Below are 26,456 nucleotides of genomic sequence, written 5' to 3' on the forward strand. Positions count from 1 at the left end.
CTGGCAGCCCTCGCCTCGCCTCTTACACCAGAGAAGCCTGGGCTGAGGGGGCTGTCGCTTAGGGAGGGATAAATAGATTTGGTGTTGGCCAGGCATGGTGGCTCACGCCTGTAATCCCAGTACTTTGGGAGGGCGAGGCAGGTGGATCACTTGAGGTCAGGAGTTTGAGATGAGCCTGGCCAACATGGTTAAATCCTGTCTCTACTAAAATACAAAAATTAGCTGGGCATGGTTGTGTGCACCTGTAATCCCAGCTGCCCGGGAGGCTGAGGCAGGAGAATTGCTTGAACCCAGGAGTAGGAGGTTGCAGTGAGCCGAGATCATGCCACTGCACTCCAGCCTGGGCAACAGAGCGAGACTCTGTCTCAAAAAAAAAAAAAAAAAAATGGATCTAGTGTTTCTGCTTTGGCTCCTCCTCTCCTCTCTTCCCAGACACTCCCCACCACCCTACCCTCAGCTTTCACAGTGAAATTAGGAGCAGTGTGTGGTAAGAGGAACGTCTGAGTCCCAGTCCCAGTCCTGAGATCTCCGGTAAGTCCCTCTCTGTAAAATATGATTGCTCTAGTGCATCAGTTAGTTAATTCATTCCTTCACTCACAGGCTAAATATTTATCCAACACCTACTAGGCTGTGTTGCGGGCACTGGATATTCAGAGCTGAATATTCAGGCAGTGTCCCTGTCCTCCCAGGGTGCTGCTCCAGCCGGGGAGGTGCAGAACTGGCGGAAGGATGCAGAGCACATGGGGGCTGACCCCATGTTTCAGCTGAGAATTTCGATTTGAGGAAGTCCACTGGGCAGAGAGTGGGGGAACTGCATTCCAGAGAGGGGAACCAGAGAGTGCGCAGGGCGGGGTGGCTGGGGGAGGGGGTCAAAGATAGGGCGTGGAGGAGAGCCCTACAGGAAGCTAGTCATACAGGGACGTGGACAGAAGTTTGGATTTTGTTCCAAGGGCATTGGGAAGCCACTGGAGGGTTTTAAGCTAGGGAAGGACATGATCTAACTTATTTTTAAGATTTTGCCCTGGTTGCCTAGTGGAAGAAGGAGGTGGGAGGTGGGAGGGGAACCTGGAGCCCAGGCAGGAGGTGGTTGTCGAGGTGGGGGTGTTTTAACACACCCCGATGTCTCCTTTCTGCTTGCAGGCAGCCTGGGGTCCTGGTCTCTTTTCCAACCCAGGCATTTGTGGGTGGAAACTGGGGCTGCCTTGCACTGGGAAGCAGGGGTTGGGGGAACCCAAGAAACGCAATGCCTAGTTTTCACCCAGCCTCACAGGATCACCGCCTCAATAGCCAAGTGACGTTTGCACAGACACAGGGGTGCTAGATGGCAAGTTGCATGAAAATCTTTGGTATTTGCAAATTCTCTTGACTTCAGCTTTGCCTCCCCTGCTCTAGAGGGAGGGATAGGACTAAATGTGGTAGGAAGCCCCCCAGGCCCCACATTTCATGCTCCATCTTCCGGTGCCTTATCCTGGCATTCAGGGCTCTGCAAACCTGACTTCAGCTTCCCTCTGGCGCTGCTGCTCTTCCTGCCGCTTTGGTTACATCCAGAATCCTCAAATCCTCCTTCTCAGCTTTGCGCATGCTGCTCTACCCCATGCCCTTCCCTGTCTCACCATCTCTCTAGTCCACCCCCTCAAGTGTGTTTGATCTGTTTCCTCGCATCTAACCCCCAGAGTCCCATGAGAGGCAGATAATGTGGCTTTCCCTATTGCACAGGTGAGGACTGCATCTCCTAGAGGCCATGTGACTTGCCCAAGGTGTCACAGCTCCTGACCATGGAGCACGCCTGCCCCCGGGACACAAGGGCCAGAACCCTCAGCCACACAGGGTTGAAGCAGCCACAGTCTCCACGTGGCTCTCACATTTTCCCATTCAACCATGTACTTGTTTGATCTGCATCACAATCCTGGGAGCTCCTCAGGCAGGATGGTCACGCCCACTTGTTGGATGAAGAAATTGAGGTCCCGGGAGAAGAAGCAACTTCACTGGATCCAAACAGGGGTTGGGGGTTACTAGTAGAGGCAGGACTAGGGGCCTGGCTGCAGTGCTCATGAGCACTGGAGAGAAGCTGAAGGCAGGGATGCAGGCTGGGGGGCGAATCAGGGAGGGCTGCCTGAAAGAGGTGGGCTGAAAGGCTGGCTTGGGAGGACTGAAATAATGAGGCCTGCTGAGAAAGGAGCTCAGAACTGAAGGGCAAGGTGAGTTCAGATACAAATGCCAAGAGGAAAGAAGGCTGCTTTCCGTGTGGATGATGCAGATAATCTGAGATCCTCCAGGGGCCTGAGTCAGGGCCAAGGTTTAGATGACAGCTGAGACCCTCGAGGTACTTATCTATCCTGGAGTGTGTCCTGTCTGCAAATAGGTTATTCAGACACCCTCACATAGCACTCGCTGTGTGCCTGGCACCCCCGAACAGCTCTGTAGCACCTCAGGCTGTGAGATAGGGATTCTTGTTAGTGTCTGCCTTACAGGTGAGCTTAGGTCACTGGCCCCAGGACCCACAGCCCTGAATGTTGCAGCTAGGGTCTGTGTGGCCACAATGCTACCTTGCTGCTGCGTGCAACGGCCACTCCCCTGCCCTTCCCCTCCCCTCCCCTCCTGGGAGGTCACATAGTGACAGCTGACAGCAGGAAGATTCCACCCAGGCAGCCATGTGTGGTCATCCAGAAGTGTCCAACATCAGCTCAGCCACCACACCTGACCACACTTGAGTCAGGGGTACAGGGCTGTCTGGGGACATTGGAGATCGAGCATGTGGAGATGGGTTCAAGCCCTGGGTTAGCCCTGTAATGGCTGTGTGACCTCAGGTGAGCCACTTAATTTCTCTGGGCTGCCCTTTCCTCCTGGGTCCTGTTTCCTGCCTGGGGCCATGGGATGTTTAAGTGGATAAGGATGCATTTTACAAAACCAAGATAGATTATTGTGAACCCGTGGGCATCACTCTCACCACAAGGGCCTCCTGATCTCGAGCAATCCCCGGCGCAGCAAGAAGCTCTTCTTCCCTCCCCTGGCACAATTTTTCGTGAACTAAATCTCCCAGCAGACAAGTAAGTGAGAGCTATGATTGACTCATCGTTGTCAATATTCCTCCCACTGTTTGCTGTCTCAGCATCCCTGGGGAACCTGGGGAATCGGCAAGAAAAATTCCTGCCTGACTCTGAGAGCCCCAAGCCTTGCCAGGGTCTCAGGGTGCTTAGAATCCTAGTATGTCAGAGCTGGATTCTTGATGCCATAAGGTTCAATCCTTTTACTGGACAGATGGGGAAGCTGAGGCCTGAAGGTACATAATGATGACAATAATAATAATGACAGCAACACAACAACGTTTGTGTCAATGCTTTCAGCTGCAGATGGTGAGAAGAAAATCCACATCAGACTGGCTTCAGCACAAAGGTGGGAGGCATTAGCATAGGTGACAGAAAAATCAGAGTAGGACTTCAGGAATGGCTTGATCAAGAGCTCAAAAAATGTCACCTGGTCCCACTTTTACTCTGTCCCAGAGTCTGCTGTGGTTCTGCCCCATTGGCTTCATCCTCAGGCACAGTGTGGTGGCAAATGGCCGCGGCAGCCTGTCTGTCCCCCGAGGTTCAATATCAGAGACAAAGAGCTTGTGCCTCAGTCCCAGCATTCCCAACCAGTGTTTTGTTGCACTCCGTTGGCTCTTATGGGCCATGTGATCATCCTTGAGCCAATTTAGTATAATACCCTGACTAGCTGGGGCCTGGGGTGAAGCCCCACTCAGAACCACAGACTGAATGTGGAAAGGGAGGATCTCCCCCAAATCAAGGGCTGTTGCTGAAATAAGAGGACATGGTTACTGGGGAGACAAAAAGCTGGCGCCCATTAGCACACACTCCTGGAAGGAGCACACACCATACCCAGGTGCTGTGCTAGGCACTTGGCATTTGTTTCCACAACTCTCCCCAGCAAGCAGCCAGGTGGGCATCCTTACCAAGGAGGAAACTGAAGTCAGAAAGTGAGAGACCCACCCAACACACAGTGAGAAAGGTTCAGGGTCATCACTCAGAGCACATGACAGAACAGGTACTCCTGGGGGCAACGGGGGATGAGTCCACTGGGAACTCTAAGAGTTATAGAGCTTGCCTCTGAGCCACCCACCTGTGGAGTGGGGCCCTGGGGTGCATGTCCTCCAAGTCCTCACCCACCCTTGGCTGAAGACTATCTGCCCGGCACGCAGGCTCAGGGAAGCCCTCAGATGGAGTCACAGGCACTTGTCTGTATATTCCAGTGGTTTGGTCCAGGGTGGGGAGTGTTGAGGGATGCAGATGGGACGCGGACAGCATCGCTAAGGTCTATGTCCAACAGGGGGTGGTGATCTGCCCCCTCCTTTCCAGTCATGCCCACCCCACCATAGAGCTGCTAATCTGATTCATCGGGGTCCATGTGCTAATTGGGCCCAGGTAATGGAAGGGCAGGGCCACTGTGCTGCAAGGCCAGGGCCCCACAGAGCTTTCTCTTCCACTTTCGGCACTGCCACATGGCGGGCAGATAAAGGCCAGACCCTACTCTTCTTTCCCACCTTGTCCAAAAAAGCACTGAGTGGTTAAGTTAGGCCAGAGGCTGCACGCTCAGCCCTGGGGTCTCCTCTTCCTGAACTTCCTTTCTCTTTGTGGTCAGCCAGAGATGAACCTATCTCAAAACTCATATAGGGGCCAGGCACAGTGGCTCACACCTGTAATCTCAGCACTTTGGGAGGCTGAGGTGGGTGGATCACCTGAGGTCAGGAGTTCGAGACCAGCCTGGCCAACATGGTGAAACCCCGTCTCTACTAAAAATACAAAAATTAGCCGAGTGTGGTCGCGGGTGCCTGTAATCCCAGCTACTCGGGAGGCTGAGGCAGGCGAATCACTTGAACCCAGGAGGCGGAAGTTGCAGTGAGCCGAGATCGCACCACTGTACTCCAGCCTGGGTGATAGAGCAAGACTCTGTCTCAAAACAAACAAACAAAAAAACAAACTCATATAAGAATGAGGTAGGAGGCCCCATCTAAACTTTGAGCCTCAGCTAGAAACTTCTGTATCTGAGTATGGAGACAGAAGTGACTTTATCTTGGATGTGAATCTGCCATGTTGATTTCTGATTAGCCCCAGGACTGTGAATGTCTCCTGATTCCTTTTTTTTTTTTTTTTACTATCCCTGGGGCAAGAGCATGTCTATCTTGATGTCATTGCACAAATCATAGGCTATGCTGCACGTAGTGCTCTGGCCTATTCTGGAGGGCTGCCTTTGACTGTCTTGCTAGAACACTTAGCCTTTCCCTATGGTTTACAAGCTTTGGGTCTTGGGGGTAAAAGTGTGGAGGTCTGCTGTCTAGTCATAGATAAGCTTTGGGTGTTGGGGGTAACAGTGTGGCGGTCTGCCTGTCTGGTGGCTGTTCAAGACCATGCTTCTGTCTGTAAATTTGCTAATAAAACACTCTTTACTGACAAACCGGATTTGTCTGACAAGGATTTGACTGTCTCCTTCTGTGGTTTCTCAGCTCCTTCAGCATTTGGGGGCCACTTTTTATATAAAACCCGTTCACGGAACAATGAGTATATAGAAGAGGGCACGGGGTGGGGTGGGGGTGGGAGTGGGGATGGTGGGGAGACTCCCAGAGAGAAGAGGGCAAGGAAATAGTGAGGACCTGTGGACACTGCAAATGCTGTGGTGCTGTGAACACAATCCTGCCATCACCGTGGCTGTGTCGTTGTGGCTGGAGTGTTTTGTGTCATATTGAATCTTTTTTTTTTTTTTTTTTTGAGACAGAGTCTCACTCATTATCTCAGCTCACTGCAACCTCCACCTCCCAGGTTCAAGCGATTCTCCTGCTTAGCCATCTGAGTACCTGGGACTACAAGCGCACCACCATGCCTAGCTAATTTTTTTTTAAGTAGAGATGGGGTTTTGCCATGTTGGCCAGCCTGGTCTTGAACTCCTGACTTCAGGTGATCCACCTGCTTTGGCCTCCCAAAGTGCTGGGATTACAGGTGTGAGCCACCGTGCCCAGTCCATGTTGAATCTTTGAATACCTTCCAGTGTGTTGCCAAAAATTCCAGGGTGCTGTGAACCCCAAAATATTGAGAACCACTATGACTTTGGCAGGGTTGGCAGCCACTTCAGCTCCTGCACTCCAGGCTGCAGCACCCAGGGCTGGAGGCAGCAGGGGGTCAGCAAGGGTTAGGCGGCCTTGTGTGTGCCCTGAGCTGTGCACCCTCCCCGGCCCCCGCCCAGCCTCCCCCTTCTCTGCCTCTCAGGTCAGGGCTCTGGGTGGCGCAAGGTTAATGGAAACCTGGAGGAGGTGAGCGGGAAGGGAAATTGCTGTTAAGTGTTTCTCTTTCTTTTCCTTTCTGCTGCCTCAGTCATCTCATTCTCATCCATGGATCAGGCCAGGGCTTGAGACTCATAATTTCAAAGTCCTTTTAACTTTTCTAAGGCAGAATTGTATTGCTTTTGGCCAAAGGCCACTCTGGGATTTACAGAGCAAAGAGCAGTCACAACTCTCTCTTTAGTTTAAGACACAGGGCTCAAAACAGGACACGCGGGGCTGATTTGGTGGCTCCACCTGGGATGACCCCCCTGAGCCTCACAGAGCCAGGACCCACGTGGCAGACACGGCCGCATGGGCTGCTGGACTGATTTCTCTTCTAGGTTTGCTCTTGGTGCAGTCTCGGCCGTGATCACTGCCAAGGAGCCCCGAGGTGGCTGCAGGGCCTTGGCAGAGCGTGAGGTGCCCCAGGGCAGTGCCGCAGGGTGGGGGGGCTCAGAGCCCACCACCCGCCTTGCAGGCCAAGAGCCAAATCTCTCCCTGCCTCAGTTTCCTCACTGACAACATGGGGAGAGAGTAACATACCCTGTGTGACTGCTTCGAGGGTGAAATGAGGTGACGCAGGTGAAGTGTATGCCTGGCACAGTCAGCTTTCAATAAACATGATTGTTATTCAGGTTCCTTGAACTCAGGGGTTCCAGAACTTTCCATCAGACTCCAATCTCCTAGGAGTGGAAGGTTATAAAGTAAATATTGGGAGTTAATTTTCTGTCTCCCACTGAATCACAAACAGGAGGACTTGGGGCCCAAAGGTGAGGTCCAGGCAACTGTAATGAAAGAAAAATGGAGTCACCTGCCTGAGCCTGAGTGACCGGGGCTCCCCCAGGTCAGCTGGTCCTGTGGCTGGATCGGAGCCTGGTGAGAATGGAGTGAGGGGCTGTGGATGGGGCGGTGAATCCCTGTTGGGGTCAGAGAGTTACAAACAGTGGGAGGGCTTCTGGCTCTCTTCCTGCCACTGCAGAACCTCAAAGCTCAAGGCTTGAGGCTGGGGGCTCTAAGGCCAGTGCCTCAGCCTTCCTGGGCAGCTGGTGTAAGAAATTCAGCAGGCTCCCCCCAACCAGGACCCCTCCAGAGTCTGTGCTCATTGTGGCCTCAGGGTCCCTGGGGTGGGGGAGGGACAGGCAGTGACAGGCCAGGAGCCCAGCGCAGAGCCTGACACATCCATTCTGCTGGGAGCCTCGCTGGACCTCCCCATAGACTGGTGGTGGCAGTGGCTCAGGGCTGCAGTGTGGCCATTGCAGGGGCAGTGGAGGTGGAGGTCAGCCCTGGCCTGGCACAGACAGGCAAGGTTTGGGAGAGGAGGGAATTAACAGTGGTGCCCAGATATTGAGCAGGTCAGACTCACCCAGGGGAGTGGCCCCCTCCAGAGGTTCTGGTTTCTGGGAATGGAGAGGTCCTGGGAGTCGGCCTGCTAACAAGCCCCTCCTCCATCTGGGGCATGTGGTGCTTACAGCCTTACAAAACTGGTGGCTTCCCTTTCTTGTCCCTTGGAATGCTCCCTCTGGGGGAGCCCAGCCCAGGGTCAGACATCCAAGTGGGTGGATGTGGCCCAGGAGCCACCGGGTGAGTGGGGAAGGCATCTTGGACATTATGGCCTGGCAGAGTGATGGGGAGAAGAGCCAAGGAGCCAGCCAACATCCAGAACTGAGGCCCAGACATACGGCCCCAGCCCAGACACTGCAGCCACCCACAGCCCTGCAAGCCACCTGGCTGAGACCGATCACCGCACAGCAGACACAGCTGTGCTCCAGGTGCCAAATTCCTGACCCAGAAAATTGTAAGCAAAATATAATGGTGGCTGTTCTAAGCTGCCAAGTTTTGGAGAGGTTTGCGTCACAGTGAAAGAAAACCAGTATGCCCCATCTGAGCCTCAGTTTCCATGTATAAAATCCAGATGGAAACGCAGTGTGGTGAGGCTGAGGCAGACTCTAGAGTGTCCAGGGGGTGCTGCCGGGTTCTGGCTCGGCTCTGCCACTCTGCGGCCCTGTGGTCCTTGTCAAGAGGCATGAGTCATTTGTGAAATGGGAGTTAATGATGGTGCCCGCCTCACAGGCTCCGTGAGGGTCAAGCAAGGCAAGCCATTTGAAGCACTCAGAACATTGCTGGCGCACAGCTAGGACTAATGGACACCAGCGAGGACTTTTACCTCATTAGCACCCACAGGACTGGTGTGAAGGTTAGATGAGAGCCGTGGAAGGCTCATGCTGGTACCGAGGAAGCAGTGGATGCTATCATTAAGAGCAGGCTCATTTTAAAGCCCCCTACTGTGTGCCTGGCACTGTTTCAGGAGCTTGGGTCACATCAGGGACAAAAGAGACCAAGATCCATGTGTGATGGGCACAGGGGGCCGGAGGAATGGGAGTGTGTGGGATTGCAAGCTGATGAAGTCCCTTACCCAGTTATGTGACTTCACAGATGCTGAGAAAAACAGGCCAGAGGTTAGTTGCCAAGGTGAATTGCCCTGAGGTCTGGGAGAACTAGGTCCTCAGTAGATGCTCTCTGAGCTCTGGGTGAGACAGACCTGGTTCCCAGCCATCTCTTAGCTCTGGCACCATCAAGACCCTCCAGGAGGGAGTACGGGTGGGGCCAAGCGCCCACCAGCCCACCCCAGACAGTGTCTTCGAAGATAAACCGTTTTCCCAGTGGCCCAAATGAAAACCGTATTGCCTGGAAAGTGCAGTTCAAACAGAATTACCGGAATCCTTTGTCACCAGAGTGGGCGTCACATGGCCAGCATCTGCGAAGGTGTCAATAATCATAATTAATGAGACCTTCCCCAGACTCCTGACGCGATGATATGTCAGCTGCGCCTTCGAGTCTGCAAGGATGAGAGGAGGGGGAGGGATTGTCCCACACCCCCTCGTCTGGCACCTTCCCCCTCCCCACCCCCAGTGGGGGCTCAGGGTGCTCCGTCCCTCTCAACAGCCCAGGTGGGGCAGCTCCATTAGTGGAGGTGGTGCTCACCCTGCACACTCCACGGTGAAGCTTCTGAGACTTGGAAGCAGGAGGTGAGTGGGAACACGTGTGCATTCAGGATCATCATCATCATGTGGAATAATAAGGATAATAAAATAGTAATGACAATAGCAGCTCTCACATACTGAGCACCTACTGTATGCCAGGCCCTGAGTTAAGATGTTATGCCCATGAGCTCATTTGACCCCATTATCCATGGTGACCACAGAATTCATCCTCCGACTGGGATGCTTGGGAGACTGGAAGATGGCACTGGGAGTAATGACACCCACCCCGGCCCCTGGACAGCCTGGCTCCCCTACTTCAGGTCTCAGCTCAGACGTCCTCATCTGCGCGCTCCTCCTGACTGCGTCTCACGTGTCACTGTCCCACTCCCTCCCATCATGCGCTGCCCCTTCACCTGTCCTGTGTCCCTGACCTCATCGCCACCCACATGCCCCACAGCTGGTCAGTCCTTTATGTGTCTGTCATCTCTCCCCATTACCATGTGGGCTCCCCGAGGGGAGGGATGGGGCCTCTTCTGTCCACTGTGGTGTCCCAGGGCCTCAGCCAGTGCCTGGGCCACGGTAGCTACTCAGCCAATGATGGGTGGGTGGAGGGATAGACAGGTGGGTGGGTGAATGAATTAATAAAAAGTCCCAGAATAGAGAGAACTGAGATGTGAGTTCATTTCTCCTTTCTAAAGGCTTCGCTGGGATGACAGATGTCCTGGGGAATCTTCTGTCATCCTCAGCCACTTTGAAGGATGGGGAGCAGGGAATCTGGGTCTGGGCCTGAGCCGCAGTCTGAGAGGCAGACTGGCGTTGAGGTGGAGCTCCTGCAAGGGTTGCAGGGAGGGTGGAAAACACTCACGGACTGTGGAAGCCGAAGCTGTGTCCAACCACCTGACAGAGCTCAGTCTAGCTCCACCACCAACAGCTGTGTGGCCTTGAGCCCTCTCCTCCCGGGGCCTCTTCTTCATGTGGGAGACAGCAGCCTGCTCCAGGGCTGCTTTCAAGAAGAAGAGAGGTGAGGGATGTGGCGGTGCTTTGAATCAGAGCACGGGGATGCAGGAGGGGAAGGGTGTCCTTTTGACTCTCCCCAGAGTGCACAGGCCTCCTGAGAGGGTCCCTGAGACGGTCCCCACCCCTGCTTACCCTTACAGGGCTCAGTCAACCAGGTAGGTCCTGCAGAGGTCTTGGGCTGCAACTTGGGCTGTTAACTCCTTCTGAGCCAGGCAGCCAGTCACTTAGCAGGGGCAGATATGTGTGCATGGGGATGGGGAGGCAGTGCCAGCAGGAGCTGGGAATCGGGGCTTGCCCTGCTGCTGGGGCTGGGGCCAGGGTCAGTGCTTTTTGGAAGACTCACTCTTTCTAAGGACTTCTTTATCTATTTGCCTCATCTTCTGCCCTACTTACGCCACCAGCACTTACTGAGCACCTCCTCTGTTCCAGGCACTGTGCTGGGTGCTGTGTTCCCACGGGCAGTGAAACAGACATGACCACCACACTCCTGGAGGTCGGAGTCCAGCAGGGGATAGACATTAATAAAATAATCACTCCAGTAGACATTCACCCATCTGGGCAAGTGCTATGAGACAGAATTAGAGGGGCTGGGATGGGAGTGGATTACCAAAGGAGGGAGGGAGTGATCAGGAAAGATTTCCCTGGGAAAGTTTTCCCTGGGAAAGTGACATCTGACCTGGGCTCTGACAGACAAAGGCGTTAGTGAGACAGAAAGGAGGGAGGAGGGCACTCTGGGGAGACGGAACTGTAGGTGCAAAGGCCCTGGGTGGGACAGAGTGTGCCTGAGGGACCAAACACACTTGTTAGACGCTCCTGCTAGTGATTGTTGTTGTTACTGTTAATCTGGGCCCAGGGGAAGATTGGCTCTGCCCCTGGAGAGGGGAGGGGCTCTTAAAACACCACTTGCTTCCAAGTTTACTCCCCCTTCCGGCGGTTAGCATTAAATACAAGTGTATTGTTGTCATACTTGCTCTCCTCCCCGGCTTCCTCCTCCTCCTATTCATCTCCTCCTCCTCCTCCTCCCCCCCTCCTTCTCCTCCTCCTCCTCCTCCTTCTTCTCTTCTCAGTTACACCTGTAGTCAGGGACAGTTGAGGTCAACTTTAGCTGTGGTTGGACTGATCAATGAATGGCCTTGGCAGGGAGGGGCAATGCCTTGGTTGTGGTACAGGGGTGGGAAGTTTCCCCCAGGTCCCTCCAAGACCCCTGTGGGCCCAGACCCTGTGATCATCAGATGCCCCCACCCTCACACCTGCAGGAGCCCCATCCCATATGTGGCCTGGACAATGCCAAACCCTGGGTAGTCTCATCTTATGTTCTGGATGTGGATGAGCCCCCTGTCCTGATGGGGCACATGACCTTGAACAAGACTCTTCCTCGGAACAAGGCTCTTCCTCCGAACGCCCACAGGAGGGAGGCTGCAAAGGGTGAGGGGGTCTGGGATTAGGTGACCCCAATGATGGCTGAGTGGCGTCTTCTGGGAGGCCTGGAGCCTCTGTCCTGCTGATGGGTGCCTGGGTGAGGATGGAAGTGTTAATGCTGGGATGTTCTGCCCAGGCTCCTGGAGCCTGTGTGTGCCCCTCCTTGCCGTGATTAATTCAGTTTGGTAACGTGGTATTTTTGCTGGAAATCTAATCGTCATTTCTGATGGTAGAGGAATTGAAAAATAAATTGAAAGTGTCAGACGATGCATCAGGGTGGGCGATGGAGTGGAAGCGGGGGCTGCCCACCCAGTCTCCCCACTGGGCAATTTGCAGGCCCAAGAAATTAGCCAAGTTTCTGTTTCTACAATTATAGGATCAAGAACACAGGTGATAGGGTGAAGCAGGGGGAAGCAGGTGTGAGGTGAAGAGAGCAGAGAGATCCCAGCCTGGAGGCAGCATCAGAGCCACAGATGAGGAGATGGTCTCAGAGTGGACAGGGACCCGTCCATGATACCACAGGAGGCTGTGGGCACCGCGAGGCTGGGATCCGGGCTCCCTCCTTCCACCACCAGTCCAGGGAGCACACTGACAGGGTCTGGGCCTCCGTGGAGATGGATGCTCTTGGCAGTTCAGCCCCAGGGTCCACCATCTGGGAGCCCCACCTCCCCAAGCTGCCCCTCTGCCTCAGGGAGGGGGCTGGCCACCTGGGAGTTGGGGCCACCTTGCGTGCCTGTTTCTGAATAATGTAAGTGCAGGTCTCTGAGTCTACAGGGACTGGAGTCTACAGGGACTGGGGTCTCCCTGGCAGTGTCTGGCCTCCCGCAAGGGCTCCTGCCCCTGGTGAGGTCTAGGTCTCCCCAGCAGACTGGACTCTCTACTGGCAAGGCTGCCTCCCCCCGCTAGTCAGAGCGGCCTCCTTGGGCAGGTGTCTGACTTCACCCCCTAGAGGCTCCTGAGAGCAGGCGCGTGTCTTCTCCAGACTGAGGGCTCCTGAAGTCAGGACTGTCCCCCCGACCTGAGGCCTCCTTGAAGGTGGTGGACTAGCTTCCCACTGGACCTCAGCTCTTCAGACCTCCTCGAGGGCCTGGGCAGCTGGTGTCTGTTGAGGTTCTGGTGGTCAGGCTGGCTCTGTCCAGACCTGGCACATGGAAGGGAGAGGGGAAGGTGTAAGCAGAGAGCTGGAAAGAAGGGGAGGTGCATGCTAACTTCACACCCCTTGGATATGGGGGACAGTCCTTGTCAGGAGGACTAGGGGACCAGGGATCCTGGGGACAGGCCCTACTGTGTCCTGCAGCCACTGACCGTCCTGAAAACCCCTCCTTCCCAATGACTGTGGAACTGGGAGAGCCCAGCACTGGAGGGAGGAGGTCTGGGGTCCTGCCCACCTCATTCATTCATTCATTCATTCAACAAGTGTCTCTCAGCTCCCTACTTTGTGCTTGGCACCATGCAAGGCACTGGAGATGCAGCAGGGCACAAAATGGACGAGGTCCTGCCCCTACGGAGCTTGCATGCTTGTAGGGCGGAGACTGATAATAAACACACCAATGAATGAATGAACAAGATCATTTCAGAATGTGTTGAGTGCCATGAAGGAAATAAAGCAGGATGTTGTGGAAAAGAGTGGCTGGAGCAGAGGTCCTTTTGGGAAGGCTTCTAGGAGGAGGTGACTTTAGGCTTAGGTCTGTGCATGAGCAGGTGCCGCCTTGCCTGGAGCTGAGGGAAGGGTATCCTGAGATCAGGGCCAGAATACGAAGACATAGCAGTGGCACCATCTAGCAGTGTTGTGAAGGTCAGGGTGGCCAAGCGGCAGTGCATGAGGGCTGTGGGAGGAGATGGGGCTGTAAGGGCCAGCTGGAGATGGTCGATGGCTCAGGCACAATGCCATGGCCATCACGAGGACTCTGAAGTTTGTTCTGGGAGCAGCTGAAGTCCCTGGAGGGTTTTAAGCAGGAGAGAGTGACACAGTTGTGAATTTTCAAAACATCACGCTCACATTGTGGATAATGGAGTGTGGAGGGGCAAGAAGGAACAGGGGACCTGGCTGGAGCTGCTGCAGGTGTCCAGGTGAGAGCTGGGGCAGCCTGGACCAGGGCAGGAACAGCCTGAACCAAAGGTAGAAGAAGCCCATGGAACTCAGATACATCATGGAGGCTGAATCAACAGGACTGAATAATGGATTTGATGTGGGTGGTGGGAAAAGGGGAGAGTCGAGGATGACTCTGAGGTTCCCAGTTTGACTAACTGGGTGAGTGAAGGTGCCATCTGCAGGGACAGAGAAGGCTTGAGGCAGGTAGGTTTGAGGGAGAAGAAGTTCTCTTTTGAATTTGCTAAGTTTGAGCTGCCTCCTGAATGGACAACTGAGGATACACCCCATGCTGTTGATGCACCAAATTTTCCTCTTCTCCCAGCCACATGGTGGGATTGCACTTTTCTGCCAACTTGAACTTGAATAAGGTCATGTGACTTGCTTAATGAAATGTGAGTGGAAGCAGCATGTACAGATGGGAGCTTAAGAGGCATGATTCCCCTTGCTCCTGTTTTCATCTAGGCCTGAATGACTGGCAGGCCCTGTTCTGACCTATCAGCCTGTCCTGGGGAGAGGATAAGGGGGGTCGGAGGCCCCAGCCAACCAATAAGCACAGGTAGCACGAATGAGGAAGAAGCCTTTGTGGATTTAAGCCACTGAGATGTGGGGGATGTTTGTTACCACAGCACAATCTAGTCCAAGCTGACTGATACAAACCTCACACTTCTACATAATTGTGGGAGTTATTAGTGATTGATCAAAACCATTTCTTTTTTTTCCAGATTAGGAGAGCCTGAGAGTGAGAGTAGGGAGAGAAACGCTCATTGCTTTCACCACCTCATATTACACATCTATGCAATGGGCTCACTTTCTTCTTCCCAAGTCTAGGCTCCATCCCAATCTCCGGTCCAAAGCTCAAACTCCCCAGGCTGATTCTGCCACTCTCATTCAACTGTGTCACCTCCCTCCCCTGTCAGTTTGTCCTCTCAGATCTCTGGAGAAGTATCCCTCCTCCCCACCCTTACTGCTGGAGTCCCAGACCTGTCAGTCCTGTGTGGAGCAGGCAGTGCTTGGTTCAAACCTGAAGTCTGCCACTTAATAGAGGTATGACTCTCAGTGAGTAACTTCATCTCTCTGAACTTCAGTTTCCTGATAAAAAAGAGACTATTAATAGGACAGTTTTGAAGATTAAATAAGATGAAGCACATGAGCCCATGTTCAATGTAAGGTCACTGGTATTACATGATGATTATGGTCATGTCTCATCACTGCCTCCCTGGATCAATGTCCCAGCCTCCTCACCAGTTGCCTTGTCTCCAGCCTCATCATCTCCAGTTATGCCCCCATGCTGCTTCCAGATACAGCTCTTTAAAGCAAGCTCTGATCCTGTCACTATCCTGCTCAAGAACCATCCATGGCTCCCTCTTGCCCATAGAATAAATTCCAACCTCCTCACCCTGGAATTAGGGGCCTCCCTTCTCAGCCCTGTCTTCCACACAGCAGCAAACTGATCAGTGTGTTCTGCCTTAAACAAGTCTTTTAATCCTCTTATCAGAGTGGTTTAAAGAGTCCTGGCTTGAGAGACAGGTGGCCTGAGTACTAGTCCCTGCTTTGCCACTGATTTATAGTATAACCTTGGGGACGTTTCTTGCCCTCAGAGCCTCAGTTTCCCAATCTGAAAAATGGAGAGGAGACCGAGGGCTAAATTCATTAATCTAAATGCTTCATTCTGAGGCAAACATCCTGGGTTTCTTGGAGCCAAGCTGCTACCTCATTCCCAGCATGGCCTGGCCTGTCCCACCTCCTTCCCCTCCCATTCTCCCTCTCTTGCTACCCCTCTCCTGACTGGGTACTGCGACGGGCCCAGGGCAAGAAGCTGCACAGCTGCTGGGCTGGCGGGCTCAGCGATGCTGCAGACACAGGCAGCAGGGACCCAACAGCCTGTGAGCAAAACCCTTAGGGAGGTGGGATGTGATCAGTGCCAGGGCTGGACTGCACGTTAGACTGAAAGCTGCTCCATATTTCCATGATTCTGAGTGGGGTTTTGAGAGGAGATGGGCAGAGTCTGAGCACTGGGGCTGGATGGGGGCTGTGAAAGGAGGTTACTTAGTGGGCAGCACCAAGGCCAAGCGGGAGTGATGGGGACAGTGACATTCACCGAGCTTTCCTGAATGAAACACTCAACAACGTATCTTTCTTATTTTTCAAATTGCCATGTGTCAGTTATTATTATACTCAAAATTTGTAACTACTCATCATCATAATAAAGCAGCTCTCATTCATTGAATGTAACCTAGCACCAGGTCCTGCGGTAACTTCTCTAAGTCTCCTAACTTATCTAATCTTTGTGACGTCTGTACGAGACACCTAGTATTTTACTATGATTCTCTCGCTTTCGGGATGAGAAAATTGCGTGGTTAAATAATTCACTCGAGGTGATGCAGCCGGAAGGTGCTGAAGACAGGATCTGAGCCCAGGCCATTGGGATTCAGTGCCCTGTGCTTAACCACTGCACTGGTCTCTGTGTGGACCCCAGTTGGCCCCCAGGATGGGGACAACTGTACTCACATGACAGGTGAGGACACTGAGACTAAGGGGGTAGTGACCCACCAAGATCACACTGGAAAGCCCCACAATGAAATCTGCTCTCTGGATGGGGGAGGTGCTGCCTGCTCCAATCGCACTTTCTCCACTGCCCTGCCCTTTAGAGGGAGAGCGGGGCTCCAGGGCTCCCCCCAGGGCCCTGAGTGATCAGCAGAGGGACCCTGGGAAGGGAGCAGGCTCTGTTCTCTGACAGACCCAGGTCCATGTCCTGGCCCTGCCACTCAGCAGCATATAACTATGAATCAGTCACTTAGTTGCTCTGAGCCACAGTTTCCTCTTTTGCAAAGTGGGGCAGTAGCAGCATGTTGGGCGGATGGGAGCAGGGACAGGCACAGGTGCCTGGCACACAGTAGGTGCTCAGTAACTACTGTGCTTTCCTGTCCCCCTTGAGGCTGAGGCTCCTGAAGATGTGACTCTGGCACTGGGGCCTGATGGTCCCCTCCGTGGGGTCTAAAACTCTCCCTGGGGGCCGCTGAGAGTGGGAGAAGAGGCTGGGCCGACCACAGCCCACAGACCACCTCTTGGGAGGATGATGTCCCTTCAGAGGACAGCTGGGTTCCTGGCCAAGACAAACCTAATGCCTGGGCTCTGCTGCCTGGACCCCAGGACCCGACTCTGTCACTCATGGTCATGCCCTGTCACCTGTGTGGTCACCACATTGCCAAATATATTAACAACCATCCCTACTTGGGCACTCACATGGGTGCACTGTCCCGTCTCATTTAATTCTCACAACAGTCCTATGCTGGAGGGACAGTCACTATAGCCAGGAGGAGATGAGGAAAAAGGCTTAGAGAGGAGAAATGAACAGCCGGGAAGTAGGCACATTGGCTTGGCTGCCCCTGGGGCCCTGGCTGTTACCTTCACCCTGTCACCACCCCCTGAGTACCCTCCCCATCACACTATCATCTGTCACTGACTCCACCTCCCAGCCAAGGTGCTGCCTGCCCCCTGCCACCCCCAGTCACTGCACACACAAGCACCCGCCCCACAGACACACGCTCTTGGGGGGCACAGTACGCACATTATGCACGCATGAGGGATCCCACCCCCAGATGTGTCTCTGCGTCCCCATTCACACCCACTAACTCAGACTCCTCCCTGTATAAAGTCCCCCTCAGGGCCTCATCTTACCAACTCTTCTTTCTCACATGTCTTAAAACTCACCCTCAGATTTAAAGCTGAAGAGAGAGAGAGGTGAAGGGAGTCAAATCTCATTTTATTTATTAGTGGCAGTAAAGCAACGTTTCAAGGGATAATTATAATAATTAAAAATCCTGTTGTCACCTGTGGGGAGGAAGGTGCTGCCTGCACAGCCAGCTGTGGCTGGTGAGTGGCCAGAGGGTTCTGATAACAAGATCAGCTCCAACTACTCCCAGGTCCCAAGGTAAGTCTGCTGGGCATTTTAATGCTAGAGGACAGAGTTCAGGAAGGGGAGGCTGAGGGTGTATGACCAGGTGACCCTCACTCATACGGCCCAAGAGCCCTTGGCTTGGCCTGAGGAGACAAGAGGAACCAGGTGGGCTCAGCCTCACCCATGAGCTCGTGCTGAGTGTGGGTGCCCCATGTCCCTGTGGGAGGGGGTGACCTCACTGGGCTGTGGGTCCTCTCCCAGGCTGTGGGCAGTGTCTGCTCTGGGGACAGCCTGGCTTGGGCTCTGCACTGAACCACTGTGTGACCTTGGGTGTGTCACCCACCCACTCTGCCCTGGTATAGCTCTTGGCCACCGACAAAGCCAAGCTCCCTGCTGTAGCCACCTGACACCCAGCCCAAGGGAGCCCCATGAAAGCAGGGCCCTGTCTCCACTGCCCACCTCCACACCTGTTCCCAGTGCCCAGACCAGGGCCTGGCACACAGCAGCCTCCCTGGAAATATTCAATATTTGTTGGAGGATTCCAAGAATGTGTAAATAAACAGGACAAATCCAGGAGGTAGGCTGTCTTATCCCCATCTAATGCAGGAGACTGAGGCTCAGAGGTGAAGGGACCCACCTGAAGTCACATAACTGGTCAGAAAGAGGAAGCTGAGGGCTGCTCTTCCAAGGGGGACAAGGTCCAAGACAGGGCTGGGGAGCAGCATGGATCCTGGGAGAGACAGCTGAGCTGCTGTGCCTGCAGATGAGAAGTCAAATGCTTTACAAGACTCAGCCCCCACCTGGGAAACTCAAGCCATCTGGGAGGCCCCAGTGATGGTGGCCTTGGGGAAAAGGGGGAGAAGAGATGGGGGGCAGCCTCATTTGCATAAAGGCCTCACCTCTGCCCATAAACTGAGCTTTCAGGGGCAGGGACACCAGGGCCTGGCCAGTCACCAGGAGGCTGGGGGCAGAGGAGGGTGGAGCAGGGCCAGGCCCTGAGCAGGTCAGCAGCCAAGTCCCATCCCTGTGCTCCTGGCTCCTCTTCCCATCTGGCTCTTCCCTCCCTGACCTCAGTAGGTCCTCCCAACAGCTCTGCATCAAGGGCAGGAATAATCATCTCTGCTTTGCTGATGAGGCAGCTGAGGCCCAGCGAGACCAAGTGTCTTGCTCAAGGTCACACAGCAAGTCTGCAGCAGACCCAGAACTGACCAGGCCCTGACTCGCAGCCCAGGGTGCTGAGTTCTGCCCCTCTGGCTTCCTTCTGGCTGCCCTGGCCCGGGGCCTGTGCTGGGCTCCCCGACACTGTCCTGTCCTCTGCTACCACCAGCCCCCTCTGCTCCACCAAACGCCGCAGCCAGGGCTTAGTTCAGAGCTGCTGGAGACTCCAAGCCCCCTCTCCAGCCTCCACCCCTGAGCCTAGCCCCTTTTCCCCAGCTGTTCCCAGACACTGGGTCAGGGAGACACAGAATGCTGGGGCTGGCAGGGACCCCAGGAAGCCTCTGGCCCAATCCTCTGGAGCGGCAGGTGGGAGCAGTGGGCTTTCAGTGGCCACCCTGTGCCCCTCACCTCCATCCCAGAAGCCCTCCAGGGCCTGGCTTGGGGAGCTGCTCTTCTCCCTGCATGTCCCCCCTGCTTCCGGCCTTATTTATTCCCCAGCAGATTCTGAGTCAAGGTGTAAGGTTTGATTTACAAACTTTCAGGGGAAGGAGGGTGGCTGGCTGCACCTGCAGCTGAGAGGCCGAGGTGATTTACTCTGCCAGGAAATGTCTGTCTCTCAGGAGGGATCAACCAGGCCCTCCTCCTTGAAGCTGGGATTTACTGAGGCTTCTGTTTCCCAGGGAGCTGCATGGTGGCTTTGTGGGTGCTGGGGTGAGGGTGAGGGTACAACCAAGGTGGAAGGAGCCATGGGGATTCACATGCAGTAAAGAGCAAACCTAGACGGTGTGGTCGGGATGAAGAGGTTAAACTTAAGTGTCACTGGAGGCCTAGGACTGATTCCTGCCCCACCACGGCCAGGCTTGTGTGACCCTGGGAGCTTGACACATAGTAGGGGCTCAGGAAAGTTGAGTTCTCCCCCAGCTCATCTGAGGTCTCCCTTTCCCTGCCCTGGCCACTTCTTCCAGGTCCCCCCCCAACTCCTTGCCCTAGGCTTTCCTCCAAGCCCCCTGCCTGCATACGTCTGTCTGTCCTCAGGGAGAGCAGAAGCCTGCCCGTCTCAGGTTCCGTCTTCACTGCAATTCAGGAGAGAGAGCACTGGGGGCCCATGAGCAGGACTGGCCTGGCCACTGCATGCCAGGACACCAGGAACGGGTGCTTCATATGTCCAGGGATAGTTAAAGGGGCAGCTACTTCCCTCCTGATGAGTTTGGAAAGGGCTCTTGGCAGAGTAAAGGGACTCTGGGGCCTGAATTTCTATTATGATCTAAGGGATCAGCAAAATTCTTGAGCCTATCTGATTTCTAATAAGGAATGAGGGAGCCTGGTCTCATTAGGGCAGGTGACCCAGGGTCTTACTGGGCAGGGGCAAGGGCTGGGGTTGGATCCTTGTGAGTAGTGGGTAGGAGGCAGCTCCCCTCCCTCTGAAGGGAACTCCAGGCTACCTGGGCCTCTCAGGTTGGGACCCCAAGACAACCTCGTCCATTCTCAGAGTTGCTATTGCATCCTGTAGGGTGCATGTCGAGAGGAGGGGGACTCGAGTCAGATCTCCCAGAACCCAGTGGGGACATCAGAGACCTTGGCTGGTCCTGGCAAATCCCGGTAGCCTCTCTGTCTCCTGAGCCTGAGTGCTCTTACCTGTAAAGTGGGAGTGGTGATCTCTCCTTCACTTGGCTATTTTCTGAGATAAGTAATGTGAGGAAAGCCCTTGTACAGTGTGTGACACATATTAGGTCTTCCACAGAGGATCGCTGTGATCATGTGGAAACATATTGCAGCTCCATGAGGGGTAAAGTTAGGCAAAGTGTGGATTTGAGAGCTGGCTGCTGGATTTAGTCTCTGCCTAGCCTGTACCAGCATTGTGACCTGAGGAAGCAACCTAACCGTTCTGTGCCTTGGTTTGCTTATCTATAAAATGGGGGTAATAATAGTGCTTCCCTCATAGGGTCATTGTGAAGATTAAATGGCATAATACTTATAAAATGCTTAGAACAGAGCCAGGCACAAAACTAGCCAGATGTTAGTTTTTTTTTTAACTGCTGTTTTGACAATGGTTCTTGTCCAGCCTTTACTCATACTGACCCCTGTAGACCTCTGCAGACTGCCTTTGTATCTCTGTGGCCTGTTAAAGACCTCCATGGTTTCCTCTGAGGTCTGCCCTGCCCTCCTCCCACTCCAGCCACAGCCCCTACCCCCTGCCCACCACACACACAGTAGCTTGTCTTTTTATTTTCTTATCGGTGTCTTTTGAAGAGCAGAAGTTTTTAATTCTGATGAAATCTAATTTATCAATTAGTTTTTAATGAATTTTTCTTTAGATATGGCATCTAAAAATATTTGCCTAATTCAAGATCACAAAAGTTTTTCCTTTGTTTTCTTATAAAAGTTTCATAGTTTTAGGTTTTCATTTAGATCCATGAGCCATTTTGAGTTAATTTTTATGTATGGCATGAGGTAGGGATTGAAGTTCATTTTTTTACGGATGGATATTCTGATGTTCCAGCACCACTTGATAAAAAGACTATTCTCCACTGAATTGCTTTTGCTCCTTTGTCAAAAATCAATTATTCATATATGTGAGGAACTATTTCTGGACACTTTATTCTGTTCCACTGAGAGATTTGTTTCTTTTTATGCCAACACCACACTGTCTTAATTACCATAGTTTTATAATGTCTTGAAATAGTCCTCTTTAAGGGTTTTTTTTGGCTGTTATAGGTTCTTTGTGTTTCCATATGAATTTTAGAATCAATTTGTCAATTTCTACAAAAAAGTTGTAGTTTTTCTTATGTGCTTGGGCTTTGTTGAGCTCCTTTGATCTCTGGGATTACAGTTTTCTTCAAATTTGGAAATTTTTCTGCCATTAGTTTTTCAAATGTTTTTTCTTCCCTGCCTCCTTCAGAGACTCCAATTATACAGTTTGAATTTGTCCCATAATTTGCTGCTGCTCTGTTCATTTAAAAAATTCATTTTTTTCTCTCTGTTTCAGTTTGAATAGTTTCTATTATTATGGTGTCAAGTTCATTAATCTTTTCTTTTGAAATTACTAAAGTGCTGTCAACTTCCTCTAGTGTATGTTTATCTCATACATTGTAGTTTTCACTTACTAGTGTTCTATTTGATTTTGCTTATAGCTTCTATGTCTCAACTTTTTAAATATATGGAATACAATTATAATAAGCTTTGAAGTCTTTGTCTGCTAATTTTATTTATCTGTATCAGTTCTGAGTTGGTTTTGATGGATTCATTCATCTCCTTATTATGGGTTACATTTTCTTTGTGTACCTGCTAATTTTTGATTGAATGTTAGGCATTGTGAATTCTACCTTGTTGGATGCTGGATGTTTTTGTATTTCCATAAAATTTCTTGAGCTATATTCTTGGGTGCAGTTAACTTACTTGTTAGCAATTTGATCCTTTCAGGTCTTGCTTTTAAGAGTTGTTAGGCAGAAATAAGATAATGCTTAATCTAGGGCTATTTGCTTTCCACTCTCTAGGCAAGACCCTTCTGTGTACTTTATTCAATTTCATGTGAACCATGAGATTTTCTGGCCTGGCTAATGGGGAACAGGCACTATGTCCAACCCTGTGTGAGTTCTGGGTACTGTTACCTTCAATTCTTTTGAGTGGTTCTTTCTCCAGAGTTTAATGGTTTCCTCAAATGCATGCACTTGTCAGTACTTGGCAGGATTCTTGAGAAAGACCCTCTGTGTACATTCAGTTTTCTATTTTTTTTTTTGAGACAGGGTCTTGCTCAGTTGCCCAGGCTGGAGCACAGTGGCACGATCATGGCTCACTGCAGACTCAATCTCCTGGGCTCAAGCAATTCTCCCTCTTCAGCCTCCCAGAGTAAGCCACCACACCTGGCCCAGTTTCTCTCTATTTTTATATCTCTCCTCATGGTACTTTGTCTTATGAATTCTAAATGTCTTGTTCTTCCTAGTTTCTCAGCCTTGTCTCTTTAACTCATCGCTTCCTGTATTTTTTCTCCCTACACCATGGCCTGGAAATTCTCTCAAGACAATAAGCTGGGGGATCTTGTCTCACCTTTTTGTGTCCCATCTTTCAGGGATCACTGTCCTTCATTGTCTAATGTTCAGTGTCTTGGTCTTGGCACGTTATTCTTGAACCTCAATTTCCTTATCCATAAAAGGAGAATAATAGCAATAACTATCTGACCCCACCAGAATTGTTGTGAGATTGAATGAGATAATCTAAGTCAATAATTGGGACAATTATTGGGACAACAATGCTCAGTCTACAATAAGTGCTAAATATATATTATTATATCACTACTAAAACAGCTATTATTCAATAACAATGACTGAGGAAATACATAATGAACAAAGACTGCCATGAAGGAGTCATTTGACAGATAAGACTCAGCCACAGCATAGAGAGGTTAAGAAACTTGTCCAAGACTATATAACTATTAAATAGTAAGCAGTGGAACAAGGATTTGAATTCAGATCATCTCGTTCCAGAGTCAGTTTTCTCGTTCCTGGTCACAATGTATGATTGCAAGAGCAAATTTCCTTTATCATCCAGATAATTCCATTTAGAAGACAGGGAACCGAGTGATCCCAGGAGTCTGAAGAGAAAAGCCATCTAGCAGCTCTGGTAGCTGTCCATGGTGCTAAACCCATATGGATCCTCTAGCCCAGTGGTCCCTAATCTCTTTGGCACCAGGGACTGGTTTTGTGGAGGACAATTTTTTCCACAGATGGGTAGGTGGGTGGCAGTGGGGTTGGGGTGGGGTGGCGGTAGGGGATGGTTTTGGGATAATTCAAATGCAGTACATTTATTGTGCACTTTATTTCTATTATTATTACATTATAATATACAATGAAATAATTATACAACTCCCCATAATGTAGAATCAGTGGGAACCCTGAGCTTGTTTTCCTGCAACTAGACAGTTCCATCTGGGGGTGATGGGGGACAGGGACAGATCATCAGGCATTAGATTCTCATAAGGAGCATGCAACCTAGACCCCTTGCATGTGCAGTTCACAATAAGGTTAATGCTTCTATGAGAATCTAATGCCATTGCTGATCTGACAAGAGGTGGAGATCTGGTGGTAATGTGAGCAATGGGGAGCAGCTGTAAATACCGATGAAGCTTCATTCACCCTGTTGCTCACCTCCTGCTGTGCAGACCAGTTCCAAACAGGTCACGGACCAGTACCAGTCAATGGCCTGGGGGTTGGGGACCCCTGCTCTAGTCACCACAGAAACCTGTGGCTTCTGGCCACTCTCCTGACCTCCACTCACCTTCTTCCTCTCTCGCCCCACTCCTTGCTCAGAGGTTCAGGACACTGTTGACAACACCCCCTTGGTCTGATTTAACATTCACTCACAAGTATAGCCTTGGACAAGCAATACTGTTGCCAGGTCCCATCTCCCTTTGCTTTTTCTCCCAATCAAATCTGTGTTTATCCTTGGGTTTTTGGAGAAAACCATAGTTCCTGTCCTCAAGGAGCTATAGGCAATCCAGGGACATAATACATACATTAGGTAAGAACTAAACATCCTAGGATGGCATACAAAATACTGCAAGTTCTCCTCTAACATTACCTTTTTTTCTCCATGGCTATCTTCCACTTGTAGTCACCGATCATAGGATGTATCTCCTACCTCTTTGCCTATCTCTAACTGGAATAGATTCCCACATGCCCAATGAGCTCAGATGTCACTTCTTCCAGGAAGCCTACCGTCATCCTTATCATCATCACCATTACTCCCAGACTGAGCAGTTTCTCCTAAACTTTTGAAGCTTTTAAGGGTGAAACTAACAACAATGGCAAGAAGATATGGTGGCATTCCATGTTAACACTGGAGTCCTTCAGAGACATTCTGGGGCAGGGAAGCAGCCCTAGGCTTGGCAGAAGGAGAATTGAAATCTTGTTTGGAACTTCTCAAATATACTGTGTGGCCATGGGAAAAATGTGCTGTTTCCTTGGGCTTCAGGCACTCCTTTGGGAACATGATGGGGTTCAGGGCAGATGATTCAAAAGCCATTCCACAAACATGACTTGAGTGCCCACCATGAGCAGGGAACTGGGTCAGGTCCAATTCAGGGACAGGATGTGGCACAGAGGGGAGTCAGACCTGTGTGGAAGGAGGGAACAGGCAGGAACAGCACCACAGAATCTAGGGGAGACCTGAGCAGAGAAGGGAGGGCCCTACAAGATCTGAGGGTGTCAGGAGCTTCCTGTGGGAAATAGCATGCCACTCAAACGCTCTGGAGGCTTTATCATAGGAGAGGGAGGACATTTCAGACAGCACAAACGTCCTGGGTTCTAGTGTCCTAGGGCACATGATTCTGAGCTCTGGGCTCTGTAATTATGGGTTCAGTGTCTTATTCTCTGTTCTAGATTCCCTGTTTCTGAATTCGGTGACTCTGGGTTTTGCATTTCTGGGTTTGGAATTTTGTGATTCTGAGGTCTGTACCTCTAGATTCTGTAGTTCTAGGTTTTATTATCTATAGCTCTGGGGCCCAGGATTATACATTCTGGATTCTGGCATATATCATTTTGGATTCTGGCTTCTGGATTTTATGGTCTGAGTACTGTGCCCTATTTATTCCTCTTCAAATACAAAGGCAGGTGTGGGAGAAGAGAAGATCCCTATGATCTCCCAGCTCCTCTGAAGAATGTGGCCTCCCTACCCACCTCCTCCCATCCTTTCCCACTCTGCCATGCACTCCTCCCCCTCCCAGTTGTCTTGGCCTTAAGAAAGGGCCCCACACAGGTTGGGGGATAAGCTAAGAAAGGGTGTGGATTGAAGGGCCATTATGCCTGACTCAGCAGGGCTGAAAGTAACTGTCTCTAGACTCCACCCAGCCCCAGGGAATGGATGGTCTGGACTGGGACCTGCCCTCTGCAAACAGGTGCTATGTTCTGAAATAGCCCAAGGGCTTACTTCTCAGTGAAGGAGAAGGAAAGAGTGAGATTTCAGGGACCCTTAAAGACACTGTGCATGCTCAAGGACTCACCTGAGAGTGACTTCACCCCTTTGGGTGCAGTATGGCCCTACCGCAGTTGCATCCCTCTGTCTGCTTCTCCAGACTTCTGACAATGATGGTCCCACCTACCCACTCCATTCCACTTGAGCCAAATCGACAGAGACAGCAAGCAGGGAAGTCACTGCAACTCCTCCCCAACCCACACCCACATGCGCATGCACACGCATACACACACACGTCTTGGGCTCCTGAGAATTCTGGGTCTCTTGGGGGAGAGTCTGTTGTTCAGGATATAAGAATACTTTGAGCCCAAGGACAGACGTGCACATTTGTTTCAGGGTGTGGGTGTGCATGAGTGTGACTTTGTGTGTGTGCCAGAGGTCTGAGGCTGAGGCCGTGGCTATCCCTGAGGGTGAGGGTGGTGGTCTCGAGAGAGTGCTTTCCTTCCAGAGCATGTAGGCCCCTGTCTCGGCAGGTCTGCTGTACCCCCTGCCAGTCCTGCTTGTGGTTGGACGCTCTCTCTGAGCTGCTGCCCCCACCTCTTGAAACTCTGGGCCACAGGGGTGGGGACAGAAAGCCAACTCTTCTCTATTTGTTTTTTCAATGATGGAACCAAA

At 51.8% G+C, this 26,456-nt stretch overlaps 1 long non-coding RNA gene across 1 annotated transcript in view, besides 4 other annotated features; it reads left to right on the forward strand.

The window, feature by feature from the left end:
• Window positions 1–476: 476 nt before the first annotated feature.
• Window positions 477–26,456, forward strand: part of LOC107984933 (uncharacterized) — an 82,158-nt gene continuing 56,178 nt past the window's right edge. Inside the window, exon 1 of the long non-coding RNA XR_001737955.2 lies at window positions 477–531. This is a non-coding gene — a long non-coding RNA (uncharacterized LOC107984933). The remainder of the gene's footprint in view (window positions 532–26,456) is intronic.
• Window positions 10,440–10,940: an enhancer, noted in NCBI's record as "H3K4me1 hESC enhancer chr1:29779419-29779919 (GRCh37/hg19 assembly coordinates)". NCBI's record gives its function as "activates a minimal SCP1, AML or CMV promoter by ChIP-STARR-seq in naive H9 embryonic stem cells {active_cell/tissue: H9 hESC(naive)}" and the evidence as "EXISTENCE:reporter gene assay evidence [ECO:0000049][PMID:30033119]".
• Window positions 12,026–13,004: an enhancer, noted in NCBI's record as "H3K27ac-H3K4me1 hESC enhancer chr1:29781005-29781983 (GRCh37/hg19 assembly coordinates)". NCBI's record gives its function as "activates a minimal SCP1, AML or CMV promoter by ChIP-STARR-seq in primed H9 embryonic stem cells {active_cell/tissue: H9 hESC(primed)}" and the evidence as "EXISTENCE:reporter gene assay evidence [ECO:0000049][PMID:30033119]".
• Window positions 23,196–23,396: a silencer, noted in NCBI's record as "peak142 fragment used in MPRA reporter construct". NCBI's record gives its function as "represses an SCP1 promoter by STARR-seq MPRAs in K562 erythroleukemia cells {active_cell/tissue: K562}" and the evidence as "EXISTENCE:reporter gene assay evidence [ECO:0000049][PMID:32103011]".
• Window positions 23,397–23,597: a silencer, noted in NCBI's record as "peak143 fragment used in MPRA reporter construct". NCBI's record gives its function as "represses an SCP1 promoter by STARR-seq MPRAs in K562 erythroleukemia cells {active_cell/tissue: K562}" and the evidence as "EXISTENCE:reporter gene assay evidence [ECO:0000049][PMID:32103011]".

The sequence above is a fragment of the Homo sapiens genome, chromosome 1 (assembly GCF_000001405.40).
Source record: "Homo sapiens chromosome 1, GRCh38.p14 Primary Assembly".
Taxonomy (NCBI): Eukaryota; Metazoa; Chordata; class Mammalia; order Primates; family Hominidae; genus Homo; species Homo sapiens.